The 21,980-nt window shown below is 41.1% G+C and overlaps 1 protein-coding gene and 1 pseudogene across 6 annotated transcripts in view; one reads left to right on the forward strand and one right to left on the reverse strand.

The window, feature by feature from the left end:
• Positions 1-12,793: 12,793 nt before the first annotated feature.
• Positions 12,794-21,980, reverse strand: part of ENTHD1 (ENTH domain containing 1) — a 150,717-nt gene continuing 141,530 nt past the window's right edge. For 5 of the 6 annotated variants that reach the window (XM_006724150.4, XM_011529928.3, NM_152512.4 and 2 more), the window contains one exon: positions 12,794-14,033. In XM_006724150.4, the coding sequence (XP_006724213.1) occupies positions 13,429-14,033 (605 nt within the window). In that variant the 3' untranslated portion in view covers positions 12,794-13,428. The remainder of the gene's footprint in view (positions 14,034-21,980) is intronic. The other variant, XM_011529927.3, reaches the window with a different exon arrangement.
• MTFR2P2 (MTFR2 pseudogene 2) lies at positions 19,469-21,776 on the forward strand (annotated as a pseudogene).

Consider the following 21,980-nt stretch of genomic DNA (forward strand, 5'->3'; position numbering starts at 1 on the left):
GGAATTAATTGATTGTCTATTAATATTGAAGCATCTGTGTTTATTTTTCCATGTGGTAATGATCACATGCTAAGAACGTGGCAAACACCGCTATGCTCTAATGGTAAACAGCGGAACAGCATCACCACAGACCGCAGCAGATTGGTCGCTGAAATTCACCCTCTTACCGACTGTCATTTAGGCATCTAGACGAAATCAGTGATAACCACCCTCCTGCTTCAGCTCATCTGCAGACTCTGAGGGGTCCTGGTTTTGTGTAACATCATTTCCAATAACTTTGACCTTCTTAGAGGAAGAAGCCAAGATTAATGAGCCACATGAAAACACTAATTTCTATATATTAGAGATGATGAAATATGTCGATGGCTTAAACAAAGCTAATCTATGAGATTAAGAATATAGAGGCTGGGCGCGGTGGCTCACGCCTGTAATCTTAGCACTTTGGGAGGCTGAGGCGGGCAGACCACAAGGTCAGGAGATCGAGACCATACTGGCTAACATGGTGAAACCCCGTCTCTACCAAAAAATACAAAAAAATTAGCCAGGCGTGGTGGCAGGCACCTGTAGTCCCAGCTACTCGGGAGGCTGAGGCAGGAGAATGGCCTGAACCCAGAAGGCGGAGCTTGCAGTGAGCCGAGATCACGCCACTGCACTCCATGCTGGGTAACAGAGCGAGACTCCGTCTCAAAAAAAAAAAAAATATATATGTGTATATATATATATATATATATATATATATATATATATATATGTGACAATTTTAAGGGCAGGGACTCCATGTTGAGTTGTTGGCAGCTGACTGAATCCTGATGCTTCCCTGTGCTAGGGGAGGGGGCTGGGGGCCGTATAACCAGCGGGAGAGGATGCCTCCTGTTATGGACTGAATGTGTCCCTCCCAAATTCAGATGTCAAAACTCTAACCTATAATGTGATGACATTAGGAGGTGGGGCCTTTGGGGGGTAATTAGGTCACGAGGGTGGGGCCCTCATGTGGGATTAGTGCCTTTATAAAGGAGACCCCAGAAAGCTCTCTCACCCTCTTTCCTGCCTCATGACGCTATAATGAGAAGTTTTCTAGAACTGTGAGGGCTACGTTTCTCTTGTCTGCAAGTCACCCAGCCAATGGCCTTTTGTTACAGCAGCGCAAATGACTAAGACATGGCTCGCATCAGAAATCTTGAGGGAGGCACCAGCCCACTGCTCAGAGCTGTGTGACCTCAAGCTAGTGACCCAGCCTCTCTGAGTCCTCCATTCCTCCTCTGCCTAGCTCTCCAGGGGGCAATGAGGCCAAACAGAGATGTGGTAAGTGCTTTGCCGACTGTAGAGTGCTCCACAAGTGTCAGGAAGCACAAGGCCCAGGGGACTTGGCCAGACTGAGCAGTGGACACCTTCTGAGGCAAACAACCAGTGTATCCCGCTAACTTGTGGGTTCACTTTTTCCTCCCAGAGCTTCCTACAGTAAAACAAAGCAGAGAGCCACAGGCCCCTGGATGACACTTGGCAGCCACCCCCACCCCCGCCAAGCAGCAGGTAAGAGCTGTGGGACCCCTTGTTCCTAAGCCACACACTATTCCTGTCCTTGACGGGGACCATGGCTAGTTAAGGCGATAATTGCAGCCATCCTTATCAATACAGCAATGACAATTTAGAGGCAGAGGTGGCAGAAACACACTCAGTAGTGGTCCCCACAGACAAGTGAGTACACCGGCACCCATCTGTTGAGCTGCAGACAAATTCCCCTGGGAAGGACAAGACGTGGTCAGGAGCAGAGCTCAGTGGAAAGGCCACCCCCTCTGCTGGGCAGCCTTTGTGGAGAGGGTTCGGAAAGCCCATCCCCCTGCAGGTCTCACAGCTTCTGGTGGCTCCTATTTACTTTGGGGCACACACGAGGATCTGATGGACAGGGCTGGAGGTGCAGCTCCTGTGCCTCTCTGTAAGGGTCCCTCCCTCGTGTACATATGAACACACGAGAGTTGTGGCTAAATGGATCCTTGACAGCCCCAGGGGGGACAATGAAGCAGTGAGCCTGCTGGGCCTGCCCCCTGGAGACCATGCCTCCCTGCCTGCCAGGAAGACCAACCTCCTGCCCCTGCCTGCTTCTGTCATCCTCCAATCAGCTTCTCAGTGAGGTCCCATCGGTCCCTTCTCCAAAGGCTTTCCGGCTGCCAGCCGATGCTGTCTGCAGTGGGTCTGCTACTGACTTACCATTCTGACCTTGTGAAATGGAGAGAAGCTCTCGGCGCTGCTGGTCCCCAGGAGTTAGATCTGTTCTCCTGTGAGATCGGCTAAACCTGGCCTTCTTACTGGCGCGGGGTGACGGGCTTGTTTTCCTCTTTTGCTGGTTCTCTTTATCCTTGGAATTGGTGCTTTTCACATTGTGTTTACCCTCACATTTGGCTTAATCCAGTGAGGTGCTGTTTCTCATTTTCCCCCCCGACTTTTGGCTTTGGGGAGGTGGCGAGGGCGTGCACAGGTGGAACAGAACAGGTTTTATGTGAACAGAAGCTGCTCCTTTGGGGTTGGTGGCCCTCCCGGCCACTCCCCTACACAATGCGTGTGGAGGGAAAGCAGACGCCCATCGGCAGCACAGGGATGATGAAACTAACCGCTAAAGAGACACTACTAAGTGCCCCCACTTTATTTTTCAAAAGTATGGACATATTATTGCTTTATGTCCCTGAATTCATATTTTTTTCTTTAGTCTCTGTTGGCTATTTCTGGGTTGCTCTGTGTGATTTTCAGGAGCATATTACATACTCCAGAGACAGAGACCCCATTGTAGTAAACGAAAATTCTCCCCCAGGGTGAAACAGTGACAACAGTCCCCAATTAAAATCAAAGTGTGTGGGGGCTCCATGACATTCTCAAGGTTTGATTAGGTGAGAAAGAGAAATTGGGACAGGCTCTTCATCTCCAAACCAGCTCTAAAAATGTTCTACTCCTGTCCCAGCCTCTGCTAATTTGGGTCTTGAAATGAAAGGGGCAGGGAAGGGATTGGGAAGTGTGGGTGGAGGCAGACAACTCTTCAGAAATGGGAGGCACCAAAAGAAGATCCAGAGGGTCTGGGGTGCGGCTGCAGCCCAGCAGCTCCTGGCAGTGGGACTGGGGCAGCCTGAGAGCAGGATGAGACTGAGGGGCAGGGGTGGAAAGGCAGAAGCAAGGGATGGCCCGGCTGGACCTGTTCCCCTTCTTCCCATCTGCCTGGCCCAGCCAATGGCACCAACTGTGAGGCAGTGTGTAGCTCTAAGCAAGACCATGGTTCAAGGTCTGGCTTTGACCCTGACTACTGCCTGTGTGGCCCTGGACAAGTTCCTTAGCTCATTTTAGTCTCTGTTTTCTCATATACAATGTGACGATCTAACCTTCCCGGTAGGGTTGTTAAGAGGATTAAAACATGCTCGTGACATTGTTAGTGTTTGTTAAGTGTCAACTACTATTATTATTATTAAACCGGAATTCTGGAGCTCATCCCTATTTAGAGATAGAGTCTCACTATGTTGTCCAGGGTGGCCTTGAACTCCTGGGCTCAAGCAATCCTCCTGCTTCAGTCTCATGAGTAGCTAAAACTACAGGCCCCACTGCACCTGGCTTCAACCCCATTTTTAACATTTATTTTATTTTTAAGGTTTTCTTTTTTTTTTCTTTTACCTTAAGTTCTGAGATACATGTGCAGAATGTGCAGGCTTGTTACGTAGGTATACATGTGCCATGATGCTTTGCTGCACCTATCAACCTGTATTTTAGGTTTTAAGCCCCGCATGCATTAGGTGTTTGTTCTAATGCTCTCCCTCCCCTTGTCCCCTCCCCACCCCCCAACAGGCCCCAGTGTGTGATGTTCCCCTCCCTGTGTCCATGTGTTCTCATTGTTCAACTCCCACTTATGAGTGAGAGCATGTGGTGTTTGGTTTTCTGTTCCTGTGTTAGTTTGCTGAGAATGATGGCTTCCAGCTTCATCCATGTCCTTGCAAAGGACATGATCTCATTCTTTTTTATGGCTGCATAATATTCCATGGTGTACATGTGCCACAGTTTCTTTATCCAGTGTATAATTGACAGGCATTTGGGTTGGTTCCAAGTCTTTGCTACTGTAAATAGTGCTGCAATAAACATACGTGTGCATGTGTCTTTATAGTAGAATAATTTATAATCCTTTGGGTATATACCCAGTAATGGGATTGCTGGGTCAAATGGTATTTCTGGTTCTAGATCCTTGAGGAATCGCCACACTGTCTTCCCCAATGGTTGAAGTAATTTACACTCCCAGCAACAGTGTAAAAGCATTTCTATTTCTCCACAGCCTCGCCAGCATCTGTTGTATCCTGACTTTTTAATAATCGCCATTCTGGCTGGCATGAGATGGTATCTCATCGTGGTTTTGATTTGCATTTCTCTAATGACCAGTGATGATAGGCTTTTTTCATATGTTTGTTGGCTGCATAAATGTCTTCTTTTGAGACGTGTCTGTTCATATCCTTCGCCTACTTTTTGATGGGCCAACCCCCATTTTTAACTAATCTCTGAGTCCTGGAACTTTTTCCACTTCTCTTATGTCTGTCAACTTTTTCCCATCTCTCCTTTCTCACCCTTCTGCCTCTAGCTTACGTCAAGCCACGGCCTTGGCTTGCTGGTTGCTCGAGGGAGGTCTGTTTGGTGGTGAGACGTCAAGAGCATTGCCAGCAGTAATATGCAGCATGGTGGCAAAGGACTAGAAGTAGAAAGGAGTGAGGTCATTATTTGCCTAAACTAGGGTGACAGCCGGGTGAGTGGTACAGAGCGGGCAGGAATGAGACCCAGAGAAGACAGAACAGACCAACAGGGCCCAGGAACTGGATGTTGGGGAGAGAGGAAGAGGAAAGACCCAAGTGGCGTCTGGAGCTACTGGTGCCATTACCAGAAAGAGAAAAGCAGAGGAGAGGCTGGGAAGATGATGAGCTCATGATTTGTTGTGGGGTTCAAAACAGAAAATGTGTGCAAAAGTGCTTTGATATCTACAAATTGCTACACAAATGCAAGTGATTATTTCATGACATTTAGATAACATGATAATCTTATTAATGATAATCCTGGCAACGATACATGCTTTAGGGACTGATATAGCTATTAGGCACATTCTGTTAGGAATTGAACAAAATAATTCATCTGTCCAAAGTAGTACACGTATAATCCAGAAATAGAATCCAAGATTCTCATCCAACCCTGCCATCCATTTGTTCAATCCCTTTGAACCTATATGTGAAAAATTCTTCCAGTGTGTGCTCTCTCATGCCCTGTTTTGGCTAAGAGGGTGGGCTATCTGAATCTGAATCCCAGCTTTGCCACTTAGTAGCTGGGTGACCTTAGGCAAGTTGCTTAGACTCTCTGTGCCTGAATTTCCTTTAAAGGCGCATTATACCTATAAAGTACGTATAATAAAATAAAATAGGTATAATAATAGTCCCTACCTCAAAGGATTGTGGTGGGGACTGAGTGAGTTAATACATGTAAAGTACTTTTAAAATAACTCATGGCACATAGCATGCACCCAGGAGTCTCCTAATCGTCCTCCCTGTCCTGCCTTGGCCTCTGCAGTCCGTTCTCAACACAAGAGCCAGTAGGAGCCTTTGAAACACTCCACAGAGCACATCACGCTTCTGCTCAAAAGCTCCAATATGCCCTTTCCCGCAGGGTGGGACCATAGGCCTTATGGTGGCCTAGAAGCCTCATCCCCTTACCCCTCTGCCATCCTCTCCTGCCACATCCCATTCCACACATGCTGGCCGCCTGCCAGTCTGTGAATCTCTCAGCCATAAGCCAGCTAGCTGTACCCCCGACCTGGAAGACACATCCCAGAGATCCTTATGGCAAACTCTTTACCTTCTTCGGTCTTCGCCCAAGTGTTACCAAACCGTAAGCCTCTTCCAGTCGCCCAGCCCCTTCTATCCCTTCCCGGCTCTGGTATCTTCATGGCACATGTTTGTTGCTAATAATATGCTACATAACTCACTTATTTATTGTGTTTACTGTGGATTTTCTCTCTCCGGTCCGTGAGAATGCAAGCTCCACAAGGGCAGGGCTTTAAAAAAGTATCTTATTAACGAATGCCTCTTAAGCACCTAGAGCAGAGGCTGCATTCAGTAATATTAGTGAAATTGAAGAGATGTTTGTTTCTAATAGTAAGAATATCTCCAAGCTGTTTCTAATAGTAAGAATATCTCCAAGCTGTTCATCCATCCTTGGGAACTCAGAAAGCATCTCCCACAGACACCATCCCTGGATGGCAGTCTGGCCTGCCTGCGGCAGGCGTGGATGGATGTGCTCAGGTCTCACCTTTGCTAGACCTGCCGGTCCCTCCTCCTGGAATGGCCTTTCTGTTCATCTTTGTAAGTCCATGTCTTTTATTTTGAAGGGGTAGATTTTCCAGGCTACCAATAGCTTAGACTTCTAAGTCTGTCCAAGAGGCTTTTGCTAAATCAATTAGAATGCTTTCTAAATCCCAAATATTCTATAGGGGGACTCATCTTACTAGATTCAGAACTAGAACAATCTTTATGAATAATAACCTGTGAGATGACCCAAAATGTAAAAACGAAGTAGACTTTTCATATATTGTCACCTCAGCAGCAATATAGACTGATGATTTGCTAATTTTAATTGACGGTTGATTTAATCAGTGATAGTGAATAATAAAAAATGCTCATCTTATCAACAGACAAGCTGATATATACTGCTCAACATTGCTTTTACCACCTTTATGATGTGCTGAAAGCTTTTCAGTTAAATAAATGAACCATGATATAAGAACAGAAATGTGAAGGAAATATAATTTATCCGATTTCTGACTGTGCAACTGTTTAAGAACTCTATGCAGACCCAACAGGATATTGGACCAAAAAACGTACAGGCAGTATTTTAATGATTTAGCTTGACCATGTGGCATCTGCCATACATAATGCAATAATACTCCTTTATCTTTGCCCTCTGTGATTCAAGTTCTAGGATGTCTCCTCCTCCATGCTATAGGAGTTCTGTGTTTACAAGAAAGATGTAGTATACAGTATAGGGGACAAGTTCTCAACTGCAGCCCTAGTGAACACGTAGACGGTGGTATGTTATAATGGAATTTTACTGTTTGAATAGCTGCAAATGCCTGAAGCCATAATTCTGCAATAATTACCATATCTTTGAGAACTTTCTGCACCATCAGTGAGAAAACAGAATTCAAAATTACCAAACAAAATCATCTTGAAAACCTAGTTTCTTCTGAGCCAATTTTCTCTTTTCTAAGCCTGCCTGCTGATAAAAGGTGGCACATATCTTCTGGCTTAACAATAATATGCTTGGCCTCCTTAAATTACTTGGTGTTCTGCAAGAAATAAAAATCTCTCAAATCTACACACTAAACCCTTTTATCACATCTCAGAATCTACTCTATTAAAAATAAAGTAAAACCTAGAAAACCAGTCCCCAGTATATTGAATATGTAACTGATTCACCCAGTTGTTCTCAGTATTCCCTTTCTCTTTAAAATGAAAGCACACAAAAGGAGGGACTCCTTGTATATTCAGGGCAAACCATTGTCACAATGAACTCATTTGGAATGGATTTTGGAAGCTCTTCAGTCTCCAGATTTCTATGACACTCTATTTTTCAATACGATCCATTTACTTGTCACTCAGTCTTTTTCTTTTATTCAGTCTGCACTGGTCACCTAACCATCACCTACTGTGTCACTGCATAAAATCTGAAACTGCAGTGATTCAAATTTCTGACCCACCACTAGTTTTGTACATCCTGTATTCAAGCTCATCAAGTTCTCTCTTGCCCCCAGCTTTTGAACATGCTGTCCTCTCTGCCTAGAAAGCCCTCTCTCCCCTAACTCATTTTGCTGGACTGACTCCTAGTTATCCTTCAGGATTCTATTTGGACTTCATTTCCTCCACGCAGCATCCCCTGAGGCCCTAATCGGAGCTGGTTGTCCCGCTTTATCAGGCTCTGCCACACCACGCTGTGCTCAAATTTATAGGACCTAAATATTGACAGTAACTACCCACTTAGCTGTCTGTGTCTCCACTGAACTAGCTCCGAAGGCAGTAAGCACACCCATCCATCCTGCTCACTATGGTGTCCTCAGTGTCTAGCAAACTGCCTACTCATCATAGGTGCTTAATACATATTTAAAGAATGAACACACCAGTAATTTGACAGTAAGCAAACTGTAAAATATTTTTATAACCGCCTTATAAAGTAGGATCCTCAAGTGCCAAAGTACTTAAGAGAATAACATCTAATGAAGTATTTTTAACCTAAGATAATTACCAAGTCAATCAGAATACAGCCACTCTTAATTTAAGCCAACTTTGTTCTCTTCATTTAATGGAATTGGCTAAATAGAGGCTCAAATAAGTGCTTGTTAATTATACTAATTAACAAATGTTTGCATGGTTGCATTAAAATATATGAGCTCTCTAAAACCTAGTTAAAATCTGAGGTTACCATGTGCATGTAGTGAGCTCAGAGTAAGTAAGGTAGTTTCTTAAAGGGATAGTTGTTGCTGCCTCAGTTATTTGTGGGGTTTCTCTGAGTATTCAAGACACCCAATGCTGCAACTTTTGGTTAGGGGGATGGGGAGGGAGGAATGCTTATCTCTGGAGGCTTTTTCCCTTCTCCATTCTTAGCAATGTACAGCTAAGAAATTTTACAGCCAGTACAAAAAGGGGATGCTGTATCCCAGTAGTAACTCCCTAGGAATCCACTGGCAGATTTCCCAGATGTATGAAGAAAGCCCATGGAAGATGTCTTCATATTTAATTCTTATTTTATTTTATAAAGAAGTTTATTTGCATTCCCTTTTGTATTCTCAGGGCCTGGTACGAGCCTTACAATAGTAGGTACTCAGACAGGCACCTGATAGGTAAATGATCGCAGAAGCCACCTTTCCCTAAAGGCATTTGCTGAGTCCAACAAATTCCAACTTCCATTTTGATGGTGAAAGAACAGAAATCACCTTCATAAAAGGTGGGAAGTCTAACACGAGATGCTCCTTACAATAAAGGGAAATCTAATAGCTATGCAGTGAGAATGAATTGGAGATAAACCAACTCTTATGAGGAATTTAAGTCTGGGATTAACCTAGGTATTCTAGAGAACTTTAAGCCGTGACCTAAATTGACTTAACCTATGTGGGAGTACACTAGGCACTTGGCAGAAATAAAAAGCAGGTTCTCGTATTATTCATACAAATAATTTTCCAAGTATCATGACCAGCTCATAGTCAAAGATAATCAGGCACACAAGGAAATGCAACACCATGAGCACAAACCAGCAGAGATATCAAATTAACAAAAACTAAGATCTAAACTAACTTTTGCTGTTATTAGTTTATCCATATGCATGAAAATTAGGAAATGTACCTCTCTACTTCTTCATAATAGGAATTAGAATATATTTGGAGCCAAAAGACAGTGAAAATACTGTATACCAAAACTCATGGTAAAATGGTACAGCCACTCTGGAAAATAGTTTGGCAGTTCTTCAGCAAGGTAAACATAATTACCATATGACTCAGCAATTCTACTTCTAGGTATATGCCCAACAGAAGTGAAACACATTCACACAGATGTTCACAGCACCATTATTCACAATAGCCAAATAGTGTAAACAACCCAAATGTCCACCAACTGATGAATGGATAAACAAAACGTGGTATATCCATACAATGGATATTACTCAGCCACAAAAAGAATGTAAGCTACATGCTAAAACATGAATGAACCTCAAAAAAGTATGCTACGAAGTCAAACACAAAAAGCTATATTATATAATTCCATTTGTATGAAATAGCCAAAATAAGCAGGTTCATGGAAACAGACAGTAAATGAGTGGTTGCTGGGGCTTGGAGGAGGGGGGTGTGGGGAGCAGCTGCTAATGGGGATGAGGTACCTTTTTGTGATGACCTAAATGTTCTGGAATTAGATAATGGTGATGGCTGTGCAACCTTGTGAATACAGTAGAAATCACTGAATTATATACCTTAAAAAGGTAAATTTTATGGTATGTGAATTATATTTCAACTTTAAAGGCTTTGTGGGATGCAGCTATACATTTAAGCTATTTAATCTTAAATACATATATTAAATGATTATTACTAGTTTGCTGGTAAGAATACTCTCTAGTTTACTTAATATTCTTTATTTTTCTTTTTTTGGACAGGGTTTTACTCTGTCTCCCAGGCTGGAGTGCAGTGGTGCGATCACAGCTCACTGCCACCTCCATCTCTCAGGCCCAAACAATCCTCCCATCTCAGCCTCCTGAGTAGCTGGGACCACAGGCACATGCCACCATGCCCGGCTAAATTTTCTATTTTTTGTAGAGACACAGTCTAGCTATGTTGCCCAGGCTGGTCTCGAACTCCTAGGCTCAAGTGACCCTCCCACCTCGGCCTTTCAAAGTGCTGGGATTACAGGCATGAACCACCGTGCCCGGCCTAATATTCTTACCAGTAAGAATTCTATACTAGTTTGGTTACTATTCTTAATAGTAAAGATATACTTGAAAATATCTGCAATAAACATTGACTTATAAAACTGTAGCAAATTTTAAAAGAACCAAGTAGAATTCTAGAAATAAAAAATCTAATAACCTAATTAAAATCTGAGGGATGATTTGACAATGGACTAGACATAGCTGAAGAGAGAAATGATTAACTGGAAGGTAAGTTGGATAATAATTACCCTTGATCATGTAATTAGTATGTTCACCATAAGTGTTGTGAAGTGTCAAAATGTCTGCAACTTACCTTCACAAAGTTCAGTAAAACATGTCTCTCTATTGATATAATGCATATATAAACATGTTTAGCAACAGAGGGAGATAAGGTGAACATGGCAAAATGTTAACAACTGGTGAATCTATGTAAAGGGCATATATTCAATGTACAACTGTATACTCTTGGTTTCCAAACACAACGCGCTATTGTTTAATTCTACCTGGGTGATGGCTTGTTCTCAGTTTCCTTCATTGGCTCTTCAACTTTTCCTTAATCTCTTTGTTATAATCGCCTAGGACTCAGGCCTTCAACTTCTCTCCATGATCATGCTTAGCCTGTTGGTCATTTCATTTCATCTCATAGTTTTAAATAACCACCAAATCCTAACTGCCTGCCTCCATTCCAATCTAGACTCCCTCACAGACTTGGCTTTCACATCCAGGTGCCTACTTGGCTATCTAACAGATAATTGAAATTAACATATCAAAAATTGAATGTCTCTAAATTTTCTTTACCTATAGCCTTCCTCATCTCAGTTGATGGCAAGGTCATCTTGAATTTCTGTTGCTTGGTCCAATACTTTGAGTTTGTCATTGACTCTTCTTTCTCTTATAAATATTTTGTCCAATCCATTAGTGAATCCCTGAACTAATAACTTCTCACTCACCCTCACTATGCCCACCCTGCTTTGAGCCATCATAAGCTCTCATCTGGATATCTGCCACAGCCTGCTAATTGGCTTCCCTGCCTCACCCCATGTTCTTGTACCAGTTCCCCTGCCAAAGCAAGAGCAATCATTTAGAATCAAAGTTGCCGGGCGCAGTGGCTCACACCTGTAATCCTACCACTTTGGGAGGCAGAGGCGGGTGGATCATGAGGCCAAGGGATCAAGACCATCCTGCCCAACATGGTGAAACTACTAAAAATACAAAAATTAGCCGGGCGTGGTGGCGGGCACCTGTAATGCAGCTACTTGGGAGGCTGAGGCAGGAGAATTGCTTCAACCCGGGAGGCTGAGGCAGGAGAATTGCTTCAACCCGGGAGGCAGAGGTTGCAGCAAGCCAAGATCGCACCATTGCACTCCAGCCTGGGCGACAAAGCAAGACTCCATCTCAAAAAAAAAAAAAAAAAAAAAAAAAAAAAAAAGAATCAAAGGTCACATATCATTTTATATCCTAAACCCCTATCCTAATTTTTATTTTCACAGAGTAGAAGCCAAAATCTCTAACAATTTTTTTTTTTTTTTTGAGATGGATTCTCACTCTGTTGCCCAGTGGCTGGAGTGCAGTGGCACAATCTTGGCTCACTGCAAGCTCCACCTCCAGAGTTCAAGCGATTCTCTGCCTCAGCCTCCCGAGTAGCTGGGATTACAGGTGCCCGCCACCATGCCCGGCTAATTTTTTTTTGTATTTTTAGTAGAGACGGGATTTCACCATCTTGCCCAGGCTGGTCTTGAACTCCTGACCTCGTGATCCACCTGCCTCGGCCTCCCAAAGTGCTGGGATTACAGATGTAAGCTGCCACACCAGGTCTCTCTAACAGTGGTTTTTAAGAACCTATGTCATCTGTCATCTTTGCTCCATGACCTTGAACTCCGTCTACTCTCCCCTTTGCTCACTTCACTCCAGCCACACCAGCTTTCTTGCCATTCTTCAACCACGCCAAATTCCTCCAGCTTTAAGGTCTTTTCACTGACAATTCCTTTATCACTTAATCCAGTCTGCATGATGAAAACCAGTTTCAATTTGTCTGGGAGCAGGACCCTGGCATTAGTATATTTTTAAAATGTTTCGTATGTCTTCAAAATAATCAGGATTATTTTAGCCTCGAGTTGGTAATTGTTGAAACTGAGTGATGGGCACATGGAGCCCATTACACGATTCTCTCAGACAAATATAAAACAAAAGAAAAGCTTCTGTGGTGATTCCAGTGTGCAGCAGGGTTGGGAATCACTGGCCTGTAATCCCCAAACCGGACTGTTTTGCCCATAAATAACAGACATTTCTATTTGAAAGGCTGTCTTAATGAATTAAAAAGATACACAGAAGATGAAAAATATCAAATTTATTTTCTGAAGTAGAATAAAAGGATGCATTTGAATTCACCTTGCAATATACATTGACAGTAAAAACATTTGCCCCATGTCCTTCTTGTTTCCATTTAACTCCTAACACTAGCATCTGGAAGAAAGAAAAGATTTCTGGCCCTTGGTTGCAGAACCTAAAACTTGCAAAAGAATGTGTGAAATGTATACCCCCAAACTCAATCCTCCTAGGTCACCTCAGAGGCTTGTTAACAAGCTCCATACAGTTGAAAGATAAAGAGCTTCTTCCTGCCTCCTTATCCAAAAGCTCTTGAATAGTCATTTGCAGTTTGAGGTCTTACCACAATTTTCACTAATGCTTAACCCATTTGAGGTACAGAGCATGAAAGAATGAAATTCTCTTCTGTTTCAAATGAACTAATATCTAAATCTGAAATTATCAAAGGTGACATCTTTCCCTTTTAAAAAATAAACCACCCAAATGAAAGTATTAGTTTGAAAGATACTTGCTAATAAACCTGACAAGGAAAAATTAAACCATCCCCTTTTTTGCCATAATAATATGAATTTATACAATGCTAACGTAAGTCTTGGGGAAGTGGAACCACACGAGTTCTATCAAAAATAGATATTGTGATGATTAGATCTGATCTGAGCTCCCCTCAGAAGACTGGGGGACCTGGGAAGACTGGCTTATTTGTGAACTATTCAGACTCATGCTCATCAAGATGTTATTGATGACATTAAGTTCTTGGATCACTGTGCTCAGATCTTCATGTAATCTAGCGATCGCACGTTTTACCTCCCTTAAAAGAACACTAATGGAATTCTTTGCTTCAGGTTCCTGGGGGAAGTCTTTGGTTGACTGAAAACCAGAACAGGACAGAGGGATGAACTGGTCTACATTTTGGGTGGAAAACTCCCCCCAGTGACTACTAGAAATGTGACTTATATTCTTTTTAGCAGAATCAGAGTTATTTGGAAGAATTCCCAGTAGATTGAGGCTATCATTTTCCTCTACATCAGAAGACACTGGGCCCCTAGAAGCAAAGGAGTGATGCAGCTTGGCTGTCTTATCTTCATCTTTAAAGGAGGTAGAAGACAACTGTTGATGGGACAGAGTCCAGAAGGAAGGTCCGGCCAGAATTGGTGATAAGAGATGAGCTGACTTCTCTGGAGAGGCTAAATCAGGAGATGACATGGATAAAGGAGAAAAGGAAGATGCTCCCTCAGAAGCAGTTGAAACTAAAATGTGTAAATGAGAGAAAAAAGATTTATGCAACATACAAATGAGAGTAATAGCTAAAATAATTTTATAATGTAAAAGCCTATCTGGAAGGGCTCAACATAAATAAACTGCTTAGAATTTTAAATGTTAACTATTCATAATAAGCTTAAAAAAACCCAAAGCAGGAAACTAAGAAAATCTACAGATGTATTATATATCAATAATACCATGGAAATGAAACTAAAATAGAATTATCAATATTCATCTTGACTCATCTTGACTCAAACCCTGCCCAACATATTTTTACACTAAACTTAATCAGAGAGAGTAGAAAAGTATTAAACCCCATTCTACTGACTGCCAGCATTTTAAGTTGGTATTTAAAGTAGAAAGTGAGAAACCTGTAACAGATTCCTTCAACTTTTTAATTTTTTTTCCTGTAGAGATTATTATGGCAAAATGAACTACCAACTACAAGTACCCAAAAGTTAGTGAAATAAATATTTTTCTGTCTATAGTGAAATATAATCAAGACTGAAGTCCAACACATCTGAAATCTAGAATACTTTAGCACACGTATATAATCATTTTTTTTCTCACCAAGAAACTAAGTGAAGTAAAAAGCATTCTAAGCCTTTTTTTCCATAAAATTACATATTTGGGAAAGTTTTTACTTCCTTTCTGGCAAAATCATATTAAATCTCCCACACTTTATTCTAAATCATTTCCCAAACTTTTCTGAGAAACACTGTGTTCCTTCAGATGTTAGAAGATGTTTTGTAAAAACAGGCTTCATAGTCAATACACCTGGGCAGTTGCATACTGTGCCTCCCAAAAGGAGATTAACAGTGTCCATCAGTGCATTTAAAGTTCTGAGAAATCTTCGGTAATTTATTCAAGTGTCTTCCAAGCTTTCTTAAACATGGAACTTTTTTCTCTTCTTCCTGGAATATCTATTTACATTCACTTATGATATGTGATACAAATTGGTGGAATCCAGTTCTAAACTCTTTGCAACGAACTCTGAACTTACTACTTAAAAAAAAATTCCATTGTAAGTCACAGAAGAGGGAAATTGATGCTTACTAATGAGAACACATGGCTTATTTTTCTACATTATTTTATTTTGCTTTACATATTCATGTCCCTTCTAAACTAAATTGGACCTCCTGTAAAAACTATGGCCAGGGCAGGCAGCTTCTATTTTTTGCTTCAAAGCTTTCCATGGCCTATCTCCACTTCTCAGGAAAAATTCCAATCACAAAACTTTTTTGGGGATGAAATATATTCTCAGCCGATGCAGCAGCAGGGACATGAAAAGGAAAGCAGGAACTTCATCAGCACATGGTCAAGAAAAGCCAAGAACAGTTAGGAATCTAGGTCAGGCTAATCGAGACAGACTATCTTTGGATTAAAAAGGTGGAAAGATGGTAGTGGGCATGTTAATGACGATAGCCATGAGAAGTAAAAGTTTTGAGAACCTGCATGTCTGAAAATGTCTGTACTCTGCTTTTAGGCTTAATGATCGTTTGGTTAAAGAATTCTAGGTCAGAAATCCTTCTTTCAGAATTTTGAAGGCCACATTTCACTGTCTTCTTGTTTCTAGTATTGCTGTGCAGGGGTTGGAGCCATTCGAATTCTTATTCATTGCATGTAACCTGTTTTATCTCTGAAGCATTACAGAATTTCCTCTTTGTTTCAGAGGGTTTGGAAACTTCTCAGTGATGTACCCTGAAGTGAGACTATTTTCACTCACTGAGGTCAACTCAATCATGTGACCTATTTCCTTCAGCCCCAGAAAATTATTCTAAATGATTTAATCACTTATTTTCTCCTCTGTGTTTTCTCTGTTGTCTCTTTCAAAACCTCCTCTTGTCAGATGTTAGATCTCTTGGACTAGTCTTCTAATTTTCTTACTTTTCTTTCCCATTTTCCCCGCCTCCATCTTTCTGCTTTACTTCAATGTAGATTTTATCAACTTTAGCTTCCAATCCTCTCATTGATTGCTTATATTTCTGCTATTATATTTTTAAATTTCCAAGAGCTCTTTTTTTTGGTTTTCAGAAATTCTTTTTGTAATGTCTTGTTCTTGTTTCACATACTGTATTCTCTTATTTCTTTGAGGATAATAAGCTTCTTTGAAAAACTTTTCCTTTCCCTTCATAGTGTATGTTTCCTCAAAATTATTTTTCTTTGTTTTTGTTTCAATGTTTTATATTAGAAGTTTTCTTTTTTCAGATGTTGGTACCCCTTGCTGCCCGCTTATGTTTAAGTGTGGAGGATTAAAAGTTGAAAGGAACGTTGAGTGTGTGTATGGCACTTGTCAACTTTGAGCTTCAGTGAATAGTCATTTGTTGGGGAACCACTAATATCAGTATCTTTAGTTCTTTCCTCTAGGCCAGTTAGGTTCTAGGAGAAAAGTTATCCTATCTCCTACCTAGAGGGTAAAGGTCTAGCTACCAGGGTGCTGGGAGGCCAGCAGGGGGAGGGGGCTGCAGCATTCAGCATGTGGTTTACATATCATCACATAATCCTGTGGTTTTGGTGACAGTGCCCACACTTGTAACTCTACCTAGCATCCCTCATTTCAGAGACCTTTCATCTGCCCTCTCCAGAAAACAAATCTTCAGACTCTGCCATGGGTTGCAGAGGTAGGTGGGTATTCATGGTTAATTGTTCACCTGTCTAAGGACTTAACCACTTTTCAAATGCCTGTTTTGTTTTGTTTTTTCTTTTTTTTAGAAACAGGACCTTGCTCTGTCACCCAGACTGGAGTGCAGTGGTGCAGTCATGACTCACTGCAGCCTCAACCTGGGCTCAAGCGATCCTCCCGCCTCAGCCTTCCTAGTAGCTGAGACTACAGGTGTGGGCCACCAATGCCTGGCTCTTTTCTTGAATTTTTTGTAGAGAAGGGCTCTTGCTACATTGGCAAGGCTGGTCTCAAACTCCTGGCCTCAAGTGATCCTCACTCCTCAGCCTCCCGAAGCTGGGATTACCTCTGTGAGCCACTGTGCCCCCTCAAATAGTTGTTTTTAAATTCTCTTTGTTTAGCACCAGATGGAGTAGGTTTTATAACCCCGTTTCAAATATGAGGCAAGGGAATCTGAAAGAGGCTAAAAATCTTTCCCAAGACCACAAGGCTAGAAAAGGGGAAAGATGGGATTCAAATTCAAGTTTCTCTGATGTCATAGAATATGATCTTAATCACAATTCTATACTTCTACACAATTCTATTACATTAGAATTATTTTTACTGTATTATAGAATTATGTTAAATTTTGAGTATAAAATTTAGAAGGCAGGTAACCAGGACAGTGAGGGGACTTGACATCTTATCTATAATAAATGGTTGATGGATATGCTAATCTTTACCCGAAAAGAGATGGTAGAAGGATGAGAGGCTATATCTAATTATTTGAAGACAATCAGAAAACCTTAATAATAATACCTTCCATTACTCTTAGTTTGCAGGAGCTAGAACTGGGATCAACAGGTAGAACTTACAGAAAACAGATTTTAGCCCACTTCATTAAAAAAAAAACTTTCTCATTGTCATGGTTCTTCACACACGAAAATAATAATGGTGAGTGATGCTCAGAGCTCATGCACAGCCTGAATAACCATTTGGTAGGGATATTTGAGGCAAGATCGGTGCATCACTTTACAGAACTTATCTATTCTTGATGAGATTCTAGGACCCGGCTGGGCATGGTGGCTCACACCTGTAATCCCAGCCCTTTGGGAGGTCGAGGTGGGAGGATAGCTTGGGCCCAGGAATTTGAGAACAGCCTGAGCAACATGGCGAAACCCCTTCTCTACAAGAAGTACAAAAATTAGTTGGGCATGGTGGTGTGTACCTGTGGTCCCACCTACTTGGGAGACTAAAGTGGGAGGACCACCTGAGCCTGGGAGTTTGAGGCTGCAGTGAGCCGTGGTCATGCCAGGGCGCTCCAACCTGGGCAAAAGGGTGAGACCCTGTCTCCAAAAAAAAAAAAAAAAAGATTCTAGGACTCAAAACATATCTGTTAAAGTACTAAGAAAAGACTCTAGAAATAGAATTTGGGTTCCTTCTAGTCAGAAAGAATAACTTAATAAGAAACATTTTAAGTAGGCCAAGACGGAAATAATATTTGAGTCAAATATTAATATCATTTTCTTTTCTTTTTTTTTTTTGAGACGGAGTCTCGCTCTGTTGCCCAGGCTGGAGTGCAGTGGCGCGATCTTGGCTCACTGCAAGCTCTGCCTCCAGGTTCACACCATTCTTCTGCCTCCACCTGACGAGTAGCTGGAATTGCAGGTGCCCGTCACCACGCCCGGCTATTTTTTTTTTGTGTTTTTAGTAGAGACGGGGTTTCACTGTGTTAACCAGGATGGTCTCAATCTCCTGACCTCGTGATCTGCCTGCCTAGGCCTCCCAAAGTGCTGGGATTACAGGTGTGAGCCACTGAGCCTGGCCCCCATGTTATCATATATATTTAAAGATACGCAGTTAGGTTAGTCACATATATATGCTGTGACTAAAAAACCTGGTATTTAAATTGATGCCAGTGGTTCTCAAAATGTGACTGCAGTAGCATCACCTGGGAATTTGTCAGTAATGAATTTCTTGGGTCCCAGATCTACTAAATCAGAAACTTGGGGGTTGGGCCCAGAAAACTAAGTTGTAACAAGCTGCCAGGTGTTTCTGAGGTATGCTAAAGTCTGGGACCCACTGCTTTCTACTATTTAGCCACCTTTCTTTTGCCTTATGACTACAACTGCTGACGAAATCGCTTATCATTGTTTACAGTTTTGCAGCTTTGAGTCATAGGCTACATGATGCTTTTGCTTATAAAAAGCCACTTCATCTATAATTGCCGCATACCAATTTACTTTTGTTTCCAAACACTCCACAGCTGTACACATACTTCAAGCTGCTCTCCAGGGTGCATCCTCACTGCCCATTTAGTTCTCCTGCCCAGGCTCACTACAGAAGTTATTTGGGTCTCTTGTTAACATTCACACAGTCTACTCAGCAGAACCGAAATAAGCTACAATAAATCGCTGTATTTTAAAATCTCATTGTGTGATATTTGCACACCAATTAATGTTGGGCTTGCTTGAAGATAGCCCTGATGAAATTATTCCAAATGCTGATGTGTTAACTTTAACTTATTATACTCATAAATAATATTGGACCAGTTAATCGTGATATTAAAACTTTCCATTTTAAAAGCATTTAGAACTGTGCTGCAAAAATAAACTGAGAAATTTCTAGAAATAATTAAAAACTCTTATGAGCTAGAGATATAAATCTTTCTGTAGGCAGAAGGTCTTTGGTCAACTAAACACTTTAAATAGTTCACTGTAAAACAGAGAAGTTTTTGTCATTCTCCAATTCACCTCTTTCAGTTTTCCTAGCTGATATACAATGTCTGTCAAGTTAACTATATACAAATTAAAATATTCTGATTTTGTCCCATGGTTTAAAATGTAACACTGAGGGGTCCTGTCCTCGGGACCGGTGATAGGTTAGCTGGGAACAGGAGGAGGCAACCATGCCGCCTAGGGAGTTACCCTGGCTGAGCGAAGGGTTCCAGGGCTGGGCACTGGGTTGATCTCACACCCCTCAGTGAGGTCATCGTTACTGCCTGTGGCCTGCAAGCTAAGGTGTGCGAGCAGACACCAGGTTGATGTCTGCGTACTCCTGGACCAGGATCAGTGCCTCTTCAATGGAGGATTCCGAGACAGGATTCATAATGTCCTCCATTTGCCATTCTGGTAGTTGCCGGAAGGCCAGCTTTTAGAGAAAGGTACCAGGAAACTGACAATGCTTCCTTGAATTGGCTTCTGTATTTGCTTCATCAGTGTCTCTCATAGTGAATATTCTGGTGTTCCTATAGATCAGGTTTTGCTGATTTGGGAAAATAAAGACTATGGATCAACTAGGAATACTGTTCATATTAATGAGAAAATGCTTCTGTTAGAACCTTGTTGAAGGCACAATTTTGAGTTGATCCAGTTCTTGAACTCTGTAGACTCTGATAATTCTGAATCTGTTGTTTTGTCTTTTGCTGATATTTTGTGTGTGGCAAATGTCGAGGAAGCCAGTTTTCTCAGATTTCAAAATAGTATATGGAAAAATGAAGAGAAAATGCAATGTGTCCATCCTTTGCAACTAGTTTGGGATCCAGTGTCATCTGCTCTAAAACACAACAAACCAGTGAAAAATGATCTGCTTGTAAATGAAGCTGCAATTAAAAAAAAAATAGGTGCCCTTGAAGATGAGCTAACTTTTCTTCACTCTCAGATTCCTGCAATTTTGGAAATGCAGGAACTGAAAAACAGTACAAATTCTAGTTCCTTTGGCTTGAATGATGGGCCCATTAGTTTGGGACAAATGCCATCATCACGGGCTGTTCAGCTGAGTGGGGAGTCACACATATATATTTGTTCTTTACTACATTTATACTCTGTTCCTTTGTAGAGTGTATAATAAGCCTTAACATAATAAAAATCAGTTTCCAAGTTCAATGCTTTCTTCTCCTCCTCCACTACCACTTCCTCCTCAGTTTTCTTCTCTCTAGCTTCCATGTTTTCTTCCCATACAACTAGGATCTAATAATATTTGTGACTCAGATAATCCAGCTACTGAAATGAACAAACAGCACCCAGGTGCTAGTATAGTCATCATCCAAAAAGCCACAGAAATAAAGATGTTCTAAACATGTTGGATGTTCTAGAGGACATAAATAAAGTGAAGCTCTGTGCAATTGAACAGTCACCTGGTGGCAGATCCATTCATAAGAGGAAAATAAAAAATTCATATTGGGATCCGATGTCTTTAACGTCTCATGCACTTAAGCAGAAATTTGCATTTCAAAAAGATGATTCATTTGAGAAAGAAAATAGATCTTAGGAGCCTTCTCCATTTTCTTGTCCAGAAACTTCAACATTTGGACATCACATTTCTCAGTCAGAAGGACAGTGAACTAAGGAAGAACTGATAAGCACAAAGGCTGTTGACCAAGGTATCAGCAACAAAAGCTGTGTCTACACTTAGAAGGAGAGACCACAGAAATATGTCAGCCTGTCTTCCACTACACTTCAAAGGATCTTCTCTTCTGTTAAACGAAGTTAAACAAAGTCTGCATACTGCAATGTATTAGTGGAGAGGTCTGAAAAGCCTTGATTCTTAAGAAGACTTGTCTCTGGTTTTGGAAGATCCAGCAATCAACTGGCTACTGATGATAATTAGATGTACAGATGTTTTTTTCTTGCATGTTAATATAATTAAAAGCTGAACACATACTTTGAATAATTTTTCTAAGCAATTATGACTTCCTGAGAAGTCATAGGCTTAAAAGCCTTTGAATCTTTTAAAAATTGGTATTGATCTGGTTTACTTGGCTTCCAGCAATTTGGAGATTTTCAAAGAGGATAAAATTAAATTTTTTTCATTAAGACAGTCATAGTTTGAATCACATAGGTTGAGTCTTCTAAAACTTCTTGCTGAGACAATAAATTATTTGTAGAAACTGATTTTGACTGTTAAATGTTAAAAGTAGAAGTATTTAAAGAATCTTGACAAGTTTTGTCCATACTTGCTATGTAAATGTGTATGTCTGTCATTTTTGTTTCCTTTGTCCTTTACTACATTTATACTCTGTTCTTTTGTAGAGTGTATAATACATGAGCCTTAAAAAAGAAAAATTTAACATTTTACACAAATGTTTGTGGCAGAATTATTTGTAATAGCCAAAAGCATATCTATTTCTCTATCTCTATAGAAGAGAGAAAGCTTTATTTCTCTCTCTCTCTCTCTCTATAGAAGATAGACAGATCTCTATAGAAGAGAGAGAGAAATAGATATACTTTTTGGTATACTATATACTATATACTTTTTGGTATACTATATACTATATTCTATTTTTCTATCTATCTGTATCTATATATATCTTGTTACAATGGAATTAGCCATAAAA

Source organism: Homo sapiens, chromosome 22 (genome assembly GCF_000001405.40).
Source record: "Homo sapiens chromosome 22, GRCh38.p14 Primary Assembly".
NCBI lineage: Eukaryota > Metazoa > Chordata > Mammalia > Primates > Hominidae > Homo > Homo sapiens.